Genomic DNA, 12,825 nt, shown 5'->3' on the forward strand with positions numbered 1-12,825 from the left:
GGATGGAAGCATACATCCAATTTGATACATATCTCTAGATAGACTTCCAATTCTGCCAATACCATTTATTGAATCATTCCATGACTGACTTAAGATAACTTTTTAATCATATACTGCATTCAAATCTCTGTATAAATATATGTCTGTATATGTGTCTTTTTGGATTTTTTAGTCTATTCCTTCAGTCTATCTATTCATATATTATTACCATACTGTTTTAATAATAGAGGATTTTAAATATGTTTTAATATCTACTATGGCTAATTCCCTGTGTCTCACCATTTTTTTTTTTTTTTCAGAGTATTCCTGGTTATTCTGATTTATGTTTCCATGTGACTTTAGAATGACACTATCTAGTTTTTGTTAAAATAGGCTTTTGGGTATTTTCCTTGGGATTGCATTACAATTATAAATTAGCATGAAAAATTCACATCTTTGTCATGGTGTGTGTTTGTATTTCCATTTTTAAAAAGTTGTTTTAGGCTTCAGAATTATTAGAAACATTTTTTCTTATGGGTCCTACTTATTTTTATTAATGTAATTCTTTTTTACATTTTATTTATTTATAAAATTATTTATGTAATTTTATTAATGTAATGTAGTCTTGGTTGCTATATTGATGTGGTCTTTTCTTACATTATATCATCTATGTGGTTATTGCTTATATGTACATATGTATGGGTGTGTATGAAAGCTAATGTTTTTATCTATTATTTCTATACCCCTAATACCTTTCTGAATTCTCTTACTGATTGTAATAGCTTTTCAGTTAGTTTTCTTGTTTTCCAAGTATGTAGTCATAGCCTCTGTAAATAATAGTATTTTTTCCTTTCTCTTTTCTAACTCTTTTCATAACTCTAAGAATTATGATTTCTTTCTCTTCCCCAATTTTGTTGGCTATGACTTCTAGTACATGTCAAGTTCTATTTCTGACTATAATGGGACTATTTTAGTGCTTCCCATTAAACATAATGCTAGTTTTGGGGTTATGACTGAATTACTTGATTTTGCTATAGATTTGATTTGTCTAACATTATTTTGTTGCAATTTAAAAAAATTAAGAATGAATATTGTATTTTGTCTGGTGACGTCATTTAATACATTTCCCCCCATGCTTATATAATCTCAAACACAGGGGGTTTGTCATTGACTTATAGAAATTGTTTTGTGTTATATACACCTACGTTTATCTTATTGCTCATTATATAATACTTCGTGGAATTTTTTTTTTCCAAATTAGATTTAGCTCATTGTTTTAATGGCTGCATAATAGTCCCTGGTTTGGATATAGGCCATTTATTCAGCCATTCCTCTATGAAAAGCATTCATTTTTTCATTTTTCCCCTCTACTATAAACAAATCTGAAGTAATTATCCTTGTATTGTAGTTTTATGTGATTGGCCCTTTTATTTCTAAGGACCATATTCCCAGGGATGGGAGTGCTGAACTGAAGGTTGTGTATAATTTTATATTAATTGCCACTTTGCTATACTGCTCAAAATCTCACAGCTAGAGCTGGACTCAGTGAGCACTCTCTGACTCCAAAGCTCATTAAACCAAATTGCTGCCCAAATCAGAACCATAGATAAAGCAAATTATATAAAATCACTGTGCTCATAGTGAGATTCCTGCTACACTTCACCTAGTGGACAGGGTATAAACATCAGATTATTCCCTAATAAGAATCTTCACCTCACGAGGATTTGTCTCTGTGAATCTTTGAAGTTAGATAGGCCTTGGTTTCTGCAATCTTGGACAAGCTATTTTGTCTTTCTGTGAATCCATTCTCTGATCTGAGAAATGGGAATAACAATAGTGCCAACTTTACACAGTTGCATCTAAGGTCTATTGCCTCTAAAGCCCAGGGCAAGGTATCTGGAACAAATTTTCTTAAAATACAGAAAATAGCAATTCATTTGAAGTTACCAGGCTCAGGTAAAATTTTTGCTATGTGCTTTGAAGTTGTCCAGGGTCCAGGCTGACAGGACGTTGGGCATAGAGAGTTAGCTGTTGCAGGGCACCTGGACCCTTGGTCCTGAAGAGGCTTTTGCAACTGTGACCAGGGTGAGCATCCACAGGCTAAAGGGACCACACAGCACTCTCCTCAGGGCAGCCTCTGCCAATTCATGATTCACAATAGCCAGAAAGCCAGTGGGGAAGGTTGAGAAGAAGGGCTGAGTGGGTAAGGGAAAAGGGGGAGGGGGTTTGGTAGTGAAGAAAAGAGGACAGGAGGGAAGGGGAGGAGAGAGGAGAGGAGAGGAGGGAAGGGGAGGGGAGGGGAGGGAAGGGAAAGGGAGGGGAGGGGAGAGGAGGGGAGGGGAGGGGAAAGAAGAGGACAGGAGAGGCAGGGGAGGGGCCAAAAGTATTGTGTTAGTTTCCTATTGCTCCTGTGACAAATCACCACAAACTTAGTGGCTTGAAACAGCACAAATTTATTATAGTACATTTCTGGAGGTCGGAAGTTTAAAATCAGTCTCTTTGGGCTAAAATAACACGTTGGCAGGGCTGGTTCCTTTTGGAGGCTCAAGAAGCGAATCTATTTTCTTGCCTTCCCTGCTTCTAGAGGCTGCCCACATTTCTTGCCTCACGGCCCCTTCCTCCATCTTCATAGTGCATCACTCCAACCTTTGGTTCTATTGTCACATTACATTTTCCTTCTGTGATTCTCTTTCCTCCCTCTTATGAAGACCCTTGTGATTTCATTGAATCTACTTGAATAATCCAGGATAACTCTAATCTCAAGGCCTGAGTCCTTAATCACATCTGTGAAGTCCCTTTTGCCACTTAGGTAACACATTCACACGTTCAGGAGATCAGGACACGCGCATCTTTTGAGGGGCACATTACTCTGTCTACCACAGACATGATGTGTATAACCTGTGGCACCAATGCATCCCCTTTCTGCTCTTGGGAGGTCATCTTAACACTGAAGGTACCGGCTTTGTTCATCTGCCTTCTCTCTGCTTCCCTAAGAACCTCCTTGCTTAGTTGAGTCCTGCTGTCCTGCTCACAGAGAAAAGACAGGATCTATTTTATTGCACATGGGATGGGAAAAGTGTACATTCGACTTGGTAGTTTTTACTGTCATGCCCGTTTAGTAGAGGAAGAGCGTGCTTCATAAGCCGAAGGGCTGAAAACTGTGGTCAACAGAATTTACCACCTGCCATACTTCATGGCTGTCTTCTTGGCTGCATCTGATGATTCCTCAGACATTGGACTTCCTGTTTTGTCTCACTCGATTCCCACCACCTTTCTCCTTGTGTGCTTGTTTCTTATCTCTATCGCGACGTGGCCTTTTCTCTGAGTGTGTATATCCCCGGTGTCTCTCTCTGTATGTCCTAATCTCTTCTTATAAGGACACCAGCCAGATTGGATCACAGCAAAAGGCCTCATCTTAACTTAATCACCCTCTTAAAGACCCTACCTCCAATATAGTCACATTCTAAGGTACTGGGAGTTAATGCTTCAACATATGAATTTTAGTGGACAGGCAGGTGTGCTGGTGGCGGGAGCACAAGTCAGCGCATAATAACCTTCATGGACCTTTTTCTTCCCCTGCTTAAAGTCAGGCCACACACAATGCATGCCAACCCTGGTGTCTTTAACCACCACCTGCCTCCATCTCTCCTGGTTGCCCGGTGGAACCATGGACAGCCCAGCTGAGGTCAGCTGCAAAACACAAGGACCTAGTAAAATCAGATTAGGTAAACCCAGAGGACTTATTCATCAGGCTAAGCCATTGTAGGTCTTGGAATAATACAATTTGGCATTTGTTAGTATAACATTTTGGTTTCTACAAAGATAAGTCCCACCTTCTTAAAGTAAGTATAAACACTTCAAAACACAAGTAACAGCCTAAGAGCTAAAGGATACATAATGGCAGAAGGTCCCATGATTTCACCCCCCAAAGGGCAGCTACATCAGGTGACAGTTCTGGAGAACTGGGACCCTGGCTTCCGGCCTCAGGCCTGCAGCCAACAATGTAGAAAGGGGAAGTCTCAGAACCTCTTTGCAGTTCAGGGTGTCCACCAGTAGAAGAGGAGTAACCACATTTTGCAGATAATATAAAGTAAAAGCTTGGGAAGTTCTTGGGATCTGAAGTAAATGTGTAACCATAAGATTTTGTTTAAAAGCACGCTATTGTTGCCCAGATTTTATCCTGTGTTAGTCGTGTCTCAGTCTACGCAGTGCCAAGTGCCTTGCTATTGTAACAGAGAAAGCCTGGAAGGCAATCATTCTTGTTAGCCCCTAATGCTAGAAGTGGCCACATACAAGTCCTGGGTCATTTTTATTTTCAACTCCTTACAACAGAAACATTAACGAGGCCAGAAAAAGGGAGAGAAAAATAAAACAAAGCTTTTGAAATCATAAAAGAAAAGGAACTTGGGTTTTGATTGTGTTTCTAGAAAAATAAAAACAAGGCATAGATTCATCGATTCTCCCTCAAGTATTTCCTGTAGTGCAATAAAGCAACCCCAAGTGTGACCCCCAGAAGCAGGTACGGTGAGCTGAGAAGCTCAGGGGCAAGGTAGGGAGGGCATCTGTCCCCATAACAATCTGCAGACTTTAAACACACAGGGAGAGCCTTGCAGTTACCCTGAGGCGGTGGGTTGGGTGGGGAGGGTAGAGTCAGTGCCCATGCCCTGTCCTTCACCTGAGGGAACGTGGCTTCTCTGCGGCTCTCCGTGTTTTGGAACTCGTTTGAGTTGTTGAAATCAGCTGGGTGCAAGTGAGTTTTGTTTTTGTTTTTCTGGGGAGAGGAAAGATTAGAGTGGGAAAAGGGAGAACAGGAGTGTCAGAGAAAGATTTTTCATGGCCCAGCCCTCGGCACATGTTGAAAACATCTTATAGGCTGATTTTAATTAGAACTCTCTATCTGGAGGGAGAAACTGAATACAGGTTCCAAAAACCATAACCTTTTTTAAATGGCATTCTTTTCATGGGCCTTTTCCAAAAAAGTTTCTATGCATTTACTATCAGTCTAAAGACATTTCCTGTTTCCCCTCTTCTCAGTTTACATTTTGGCATTTTCACAGTTTCTTCATTCCTGTTTCCCATGGCCCTTTACTATGCAAAAAGGGTGTGTACCTGTGCAAATGTGCAAGAAATGAAGGAAAATTAATAAACTAGCAAGAGAATTGGAGGGCAAGTTATGAAAAAAGAGTGAAGAGCTAAATTTATATAACCTAGAAAAAGAGAAGGCTCTGGAGGAACATGATAAAGTTACACTTCACAGAAGCAATGTAAATGAAGGGAGGGAATTATTCACAGTCTCAGAAGATGGCAGGACAGAAGGGCTGGCCCCAAGCCAAGGCGGGAAAACAGAATAATGAAGGATGATAAAGGCGAAGACCAGAGGGAGCGCCTGCTGTGGGGCCAGTGACCCCACCCTTCCAGTTCATTTCCGACAGACACGAGGGATCCAGCAGCATCGAGGTCAGCTGAGCAGTTCCACGTGGAGCTTTCCCACCCACAGCTCCTTCCTGGTCTGGTAGAATCTCCTGCACTGCTGTGGACAGTGGGGTGAAGGAAAAAGGATATGTTTTTCCCCAACATGGACAAACTTCCTCTCAAAGTAACTTTAAAGAACCAAACTTCCCTCCCTAAACACAGAAATAATTTCAAGCATAACACTCCAGTGACTTGTGTTCATTTTTTAATTCTATCTTGCTCTGTTTAATTTTTGATCAATTGGAGCTATTTTAATGCTTGTGAAGTCTTTCGTCTGGACTAAAAATGAGGACGATCCTTTTACTCTGGGCATAATAGCACAGACATTTAGTGATGGATTAACAGGGCTCCATGCCATCAATATCTACAGTGCATTGAGTGATGAATAGAAGGCCGGAGGTTGAGGTTTTACTGCTTACTTTGCCATTGTATTTGTTTAGAAGGCTATTAATATACAACAAATTTCCACAAAGGTAACACCTTAAAACAATACACTTTTATTATCTCCCAGTTTCTACGGGTCAGGAATCTGGGTATGGCTGGGTGGGGTCATCTGCTTCAGAATTTCTCCACTGCTGCAATCGAGGTGTCGGCCCAGGATTTCTTAGAAGGCTGTTATAAAGACGCAGGCTGAGCCACAGGCATCTCGTGGTTTGACTGGGGCAGAATTCACTTCCAACTCATTCAGTGGTTATTGGCAGGATTCAATTCCTCATTGGGTGTTGGACTGAGGACCTCAGTTCCTTGCTAACTGTTGGCCAAATGCCACCCTCAGTTCCTTGCTTTGTGGGCCTTTCTAACATGAGAGCTTGGTTCACCAAAGTGAGCAAGCCAGGAGGGCAAAAGATTGAATGAGAGAGTGCCAGCAAGACAGAAGTTACAGCTTTTTCTTTCTTTCTTTCTTTCTTTTTTTTTTTTTTTTGAGACAGAATCTTGTTCCGTCACCAGGCTGGAATGCAGTGGCACAATCTCGGCTCACTGCAACCTCCGCTTCCCGGGTTCAAGCAATTCTTCTGCCTCAGCCTCCCGAGTAGCTGGGACGACAGGCACGTGCCACCATACCCGGCTAATTTTTGTATTTTTAGTAGAGACGGGGTTTCACCATATTGGTCAGGCTGGTCTCGAACTCCTGACCTCGTGATCTGCCTGCCTCAGCCTCCCAAAGTGCTGGGATTACAGGCTTGAGCCACCATGCCTGGCCCAGAGGGTTTTTATAACCTGATCTTGGAAGTGGCTTTCCATTATTTTTGCTGTCTTCTATAAACATATAGAAGCAAGTCATTAGATCCAGACCCCATAGAAACAGCAGGAATTACACAAAGAGTGGATAACAGGAGGTGGGGACAACTGGAAGCCATTTTAGAAGGCTGCCTACAGCATTAACCAGATAAGTGGCCTTGGGCCTTAGCTCTTTCATGTGTTTAATAAAATAATAAAAAGACAAGTTTAAAGGTGGTTTAACTGATCATCGTGCAAATTTGACTGCCTGCCAGAGTCTTGTAGGTCACATTAATTTGTAAAATGTATCACATGTGAGATAATAGGCAGGGTTATGGGGACTCCAATGAGCTATACCTGCTCTACTGGACCTATAGCATTCAAAATCAAATCTCTTAAAAATACATGGGCCCATCAAAGGTAATCTCAGTCCAGGTTGGACCTGCAGATCACCAGTCTGACACCATTCAAGCTAACATGTTGTTACAGATGGATGACACATAGTAGGGACTCTAGATATTTTTGTTTCCTTCCATTCTTCTATCAGCTGCATCACCTTCCATTTGGCCAAAGCAAAGGGCACAGGCCGTTCTGTAGGTCACCGTTCCTAACTCCCGTGAGGAATCAATGACATTAATGACTGTAAGAAGAATGTTTCTTTAAAACTCAGAAATGGTTCTTGCTAAAACAAGTGAACGCTGGTTACCAGAGGGAAGACAAGCTGGCTCCAGGTTCTTCTAGCCCTACTTATACCCTTCTCACCAAAATAAAAAGAATGGCATTCACTAAAGTAGATTATGTTGAGTCAAATCAATACCTTTTGATAATAGAAATGATGGGCATATAATCACTTCTTCAACTAATATTTCTTGAGCTCCCACTGTGCCACCAAGATGAATAATATATGGTTCCTCAAGTTCTCCCAGTGTCTTGAGGACACATTGACAACATGCTCTGATGACTGCCAGAGAGAAGTGTACGCAGGTGGTAAGACCACAGGGGAAGGGACAACAGGGTCTATGTGGGATTAGTTATGGCTTTGCAAAAGATAGAGTGATGGGCCTCCCTCTCTCAGGGGCATGATTCATGACTCCCAGTTTTGTTTTTGATGGTCAAAATGTTTTACAATGGGATTATCTCACTAATCCTCCTAACCTGCTGGGACTGCAGGAAAAACACAGGTGCTATATTACTCTGCCTGATAGATAGCCAAATGGGAATCCTACAACATAAAGCAGGAGTTCCCCTAAAGACTACTCTAGTGCCTAACAAGATCTCAAGGTAGGGGTATAATCCAGTCTATGGCAACAATTGGATTACTCAGCTCTGCTGAGCCAGAGAGAGGACCTGATTTGAAATCATACTATTATTATTATTACTATTTTTGGAGATGGAGTCTTGCTCTGTTGCCCAGGCTGGAATGCAGCGGCACAATCTCGGCTAACTGCAACCTCCATCTCCTGGGTTGAAGTGATTCTTCCTGGCTCAGCCTCCTGAGTCACTGGGACTACAGGCACCCACCACCATGCCCAGCTAAGTTTTGTATGAAATCATATTACTTATGGCATTTACACATTGATATTTTGGGATTAGCTATCTACATTATTATCATCGATGTGGCTAGTAAAACAAACAATTATAACAACCTTATACTTTGTCTTTGTATAGTGTTTTAAAAACTTCTCACTTGATAGCAGCATAGAAGTCTGAGTTTAGAAAGAAAATGCATCCTATTCTTTCATCAAGCCTTAAGTGGCCTGAATTCAAAGTTTTTAGAGAAATCAATGAAATATTATTGAAGTGCCAAGTCCAGGTTAAAGACAGAGTTTTTATGTAGGATGTACAATTATTTAATATTAGGTCTAAGAGATTCACATTTTTTTCTTACAATATGCTATTACAAAAAGTAAGAAAGCAGTGATTTTTACCCTTTACCTTACCCAAACTGTCCATAATTCAGTTGTTTCTTTGCAAAGCTGTACTTTGCCATTAGATACCTGGATATTTCCAAAAAGAGCATTTGTGTATCAAAAATTACAGAGGAAACTACTTCAGTTCCCCACCTTAGTTTAGGTCTATCAATGCATCCGAAGTGCTGCTTTTTTTTTTATGATCACAGAGAAGGAAAAAGTGCATTTATTCATCTGGGAGGTGTATAATCAGTCACTCTCTCCATCAGCCCCCAAAAGCAGTTCAAACAGCATCTATTTAAATTGAAGACCAATTAAATAATTATCAAAAGCATCAAGAAGACAGCAAGGCTAAGACTCAAAGGAGCACATGGAGTCCGGTAGAAAAACATAGTTGCTGTTGTGAATTTTTCCCTCACCATTTATTAGACCATGTGCTGCCAGTGACCTCCGCATATCAAACAGGGCCTTGGGCAGCTTCTTTTGAGTGTATGGACCTCCCTGAGCACAAAAATGTTTCCTAGTGTTTTGCAGATTTAGAAGGAGATGTATTTTTTGTTTGTTTGTTTGTTTGTTTCCAGCTAAGCTGCCAGGCCATTTGGCTTTGCAGAAATGAGCCCTTTGGTTCAGGACTGAGTGAAGCCTGCACTCTGGCCACTACGCATGAGGAGTTTTCTCCTTTGAACTCTGCCCAGCATACCCACTTGGCCAGCCCGATGTATCTGTAATCTTCAGAACGCTCAAGAAGAGTGCTAAATTCAGATCCTTGTTTTCCATGGATAATTTGCTTCTTCTCTGACTCCTTTTCATTGTTTCTGCCTCTTTCCAAGAGGCAAACCCAGGAGAATGTAAACCAGCACCTTCTGAAAATAAACCCAAACTGGCCACCTCGAAGCCATGCACCTGGCTGGTGATCTTCCTAAGGGCTGCCCCCGAGGGCTGGCCATTGTCTTGCTGCTGTCCCTGTACTCAGGCAGGAGTAAGACAATGTGCAGCTGTCCTGCTGCAAACAAGCCCTACGCATTCACCCTTGCTAGAGAAACAAATGTCAGCAAATGGCCTATTCACAGTGGGTTTGGAACTCATCATCTGTCTCTGAAAACCAGAAATCTCTGAGGTGGCCTAACACAAAAGGATGCCAATGACAAAGGGTTAACAGCAGATGCTGAATAATGGAGTGGGAACAAATTGCATTCATGGGCTTCTTGTTTTTTGTGTCTCCTTCAGATAGTGCCTCATTCTTCCCATGTCATTTTCAATTTCAACCATTCCTATTTTCATCACCAAGGGAGTCACTTGAGGGGCATCTGGATGGATTTCTGCTTGAGGTTTTCTGCCTTTGGATTGAAGTGGGCCTCTCTGCACTTCAGTTTTTTTTTTTTCCTTGCAAAACAGTGACATATGTCTGCAAAAGCTTTGTAACAGCCACTTCATCCTGCCCTGTGTGGCAGAGTTGGCTATATTGTCATGCTGGGCGGAAGTAATGCAGTTTGCAGAGCAATTTAAAATCTGGAATGAAGAAACTATAGGCTTGCCAGAGTTTTTGCTGACATTGAGCTTAAAGATAAAATACTGGATCTATAACTTTTATTAAAACCAGGTCATTCTTTGGTGTCAAAAATCATGAAGGAAACATGTATACAAATATACACCTACAATTCTCACCTTTCTACAGGTAAGGAGGAAACAAAGGCTACTAGCAAGAAGCTCCCTCTTCATCTGTGATGTAAGACTCAGATGAGTAGAACTTGAGCAGTTTTCAATGAAACAGTAGATATAACAACACTGAAGAAAGCCAAACAATCAATATACAAACAGGTGTTCTCCTTTCATGTGTAATGATAATACTGGTAATAACAAAAATAACATTTATTTAACGAAGATTGTGCCAAGGACTATTCTAAGGACTTTATAAGTATTATCTAATTTGATCCTCTTAATTACTATGAGTAGGTGCTCTAATTATTCTATTCCTCATATGAGGAAATTAAGCAGGCACAAGGAACTTGAATAAATTGCTCAAGGACACAAGGTAAGTATGGGGCAGCTGGGGATAGGATCCCAGGAAAACCTGCTCCAAACCCAGCTCACCACAAGAGGACTTCATCAGTTCTAAGTAGGAAAAGGTGCCAACTAACAGAAGACTGAAAATAGCAAGAGCCAGTACAATTACAGGTTTATTTTTCTGTCTAGTAATCAGTGTCTGGAAGTAGCAAGTCCAGGGCTGATACGGCAAATCCTATCACAGGAATCAGATTCCCTCTTACCTTTCTGCACTGCTATCCTTGCTTAGTGCCTACCTGCAAACCTTAAGTTTACGTCAAGGTACAAAGCACTTTTAGAACCTTGGCCATTTGTATCCAATTCCAGGACCTAAGGAGGAGGGAGGAGAAGGGCAAACATGTGCCTGAGCTTGGGTCTCTTTCTACTTTAAGGAGAGTTCCTGAAGCCCCACCCACTTCTACTTCCATCTCATTGGCTGGACCTTAGTTGTATGGTCACCCCTATCTACAAGAGAGATTAGGACACACAATTTTTAAGCAGAATACATTGTCACTCTGAATAAAATTAAATTTTCTTTTTCAAAAAGAAGAGGAGAGTAGATATCGATGGGTAGTCTGCAGGGGATACCAAAGACCTCAGTTGGGCTTAACCCAAGATGTGGATACAACAGTCATAGAGGAAGACAAGTGAACCTTAATCCTTACTGCCTACTTGACTACTTCACCCTCTTGTTATCATGGGAGCCAAGGAGCCTCCTGGGAATACTTCATACCAGCCTGAAACTGAACTTCAGACATACACCACCTGGCATGTCACATGGCCTGGGCAGAGTTAGGTAAACAGGTCCTCAAAAGTCTGTTAGAAAAAGTCAGGGTTGGGCCAGGCACGGTGGCTCGTGCCTGTAATCCTAGCACTTTGGGAGGTCAAGGCGGGTGGATCATCTGAGGTCAGGAGTTTGAGACCAGCCTGGCCAACATGGTGAAACCCCGTCTCTACTAAAAATACAAAAAATTAGTTGGGCATCGTGGTAGTCACCTGTAATCCCAGCTACTCGGGAGGCCAAGGCAGAAGAATCGCTTGAAGCCAGGAGGTGGAGGTTGCAATGAGCTGAGATCACGCCATTGCACTTCAACCTGGGCAACAAGAGTGAAACTTTGTCTCAAGAAAAAAAACAAAAAAAGTCAGGGTCCTTGAGAGAGAATTCACCATGAGGAAGAAAAAATTTGCACGTCTGAGTGTGAGGTAAGCATGACTCTGGGTAAATCTTGGCAGCTGGTACTAAGATCCACCCTGACTCACCTACCTGTGTGTTAGTCCACACTTTGCATAGAAACTCAAGTGGCTATATTATTAAACTCAGTAACATGTCTGGGCATAAACAATCTTGCCGTGGCACTCCCTCTAACTGAGTGTGACAGAGGGAATAAGGCATTCTTATTATTGTGATTTCATCTGCTGAATTAGTGAGGTGACTTGAGGATTAAGCATATGACAGCCAGGCCTGGTGTGTTGGCTCATAGCAGTAATGCCAACACTTTTGGAGGCCAAGGAAAGAGGATCACTTGAGGCCAGGAGTTCAAGGTTGCAGTATAGCTTGGATGACACAGCAATACCCTGTCTCTTAAGAAAAAAAAATGGCAGTTAAGGATATCCACAGGATGTCTACCTCATTGCAGCTGACAAGAAAGGCAGCATGGTAAAGATAAAAGGGACAGAGAACAATGTTGAGTGATGTATGTAGGATAATCCTGGATACTCTTCCAAGTTACTGGTACGGGGTTCTTTTCATGAGGTTGGAAATTCTGTATGTCGTGGTCCAGATACTAGAGTTTGTAACGTTCAGATTTAACTGTAATATGATGTTATTTGTTCATAAACATATTGAGACCTGGGGTTATTTGGGTTACTTTAAGTTCACATAGGTTTCAGCTGAGTTCTATGGGTAGCTCAAACACCAATCCCTGAGCCCGGAAAACACAACTTGAAACTAACTTAACCTCCTCCCTTACCCTCTCCTAAATCCCCCTGCTCAATTTCATTCAAATGCAAATGGAAAGCTCTGTATAAAAAATAAACAAGAAGAGAGAAAAGAAAGAAGAAAAGCACGACAAGAAGAATACAGTAAAACAAGAAAGAAGGGAGGGATATAGCGAAGGAGATGAAGAGAGAGAAGAAAGAAAAGGTGTGAGGAGAAGGAAAAGAAAGCCAGATTCTTAAACTCCTAATTATTAGTAGTAGAATG

The 12,825-nt window shown here is 41.5% G+C and overlaps 1 annotated feature.

The window, feature by feature from the left end:
• Positions 11,373-12,572: an enhancer, noted in NCBI's record as "MED14-independent group 3 enhancer chr9:2361801-2363000 (GRCh37/hg19 assembly coordinates)". NCBI's record gives its function as "activates an origin of replication core promoter dependent on BRD2, BRD4, P300/CBP and CDK7 cofactors, and independent of MED14, by STARR-seq in HCT116 cells {active_cell/tissue: HCT116}" and the evidence as "EXISTENCE:reporter gene assay evidence [ECO:0000049][PMID:35650434]".

This window comes from Homo sapiens, chromosome 9 (genome assembly GCF_000001405.40).
Source record: "Homo sapiens chromosome 9, GRCh38.p14 Primary Assembly".
Taxonomy (NCBI): domain Eukaryota; kingdom Metazoa; phylum Chordata; class Mammalia; order Primates; family Hominidae; genus Homo; species Homo sapiens.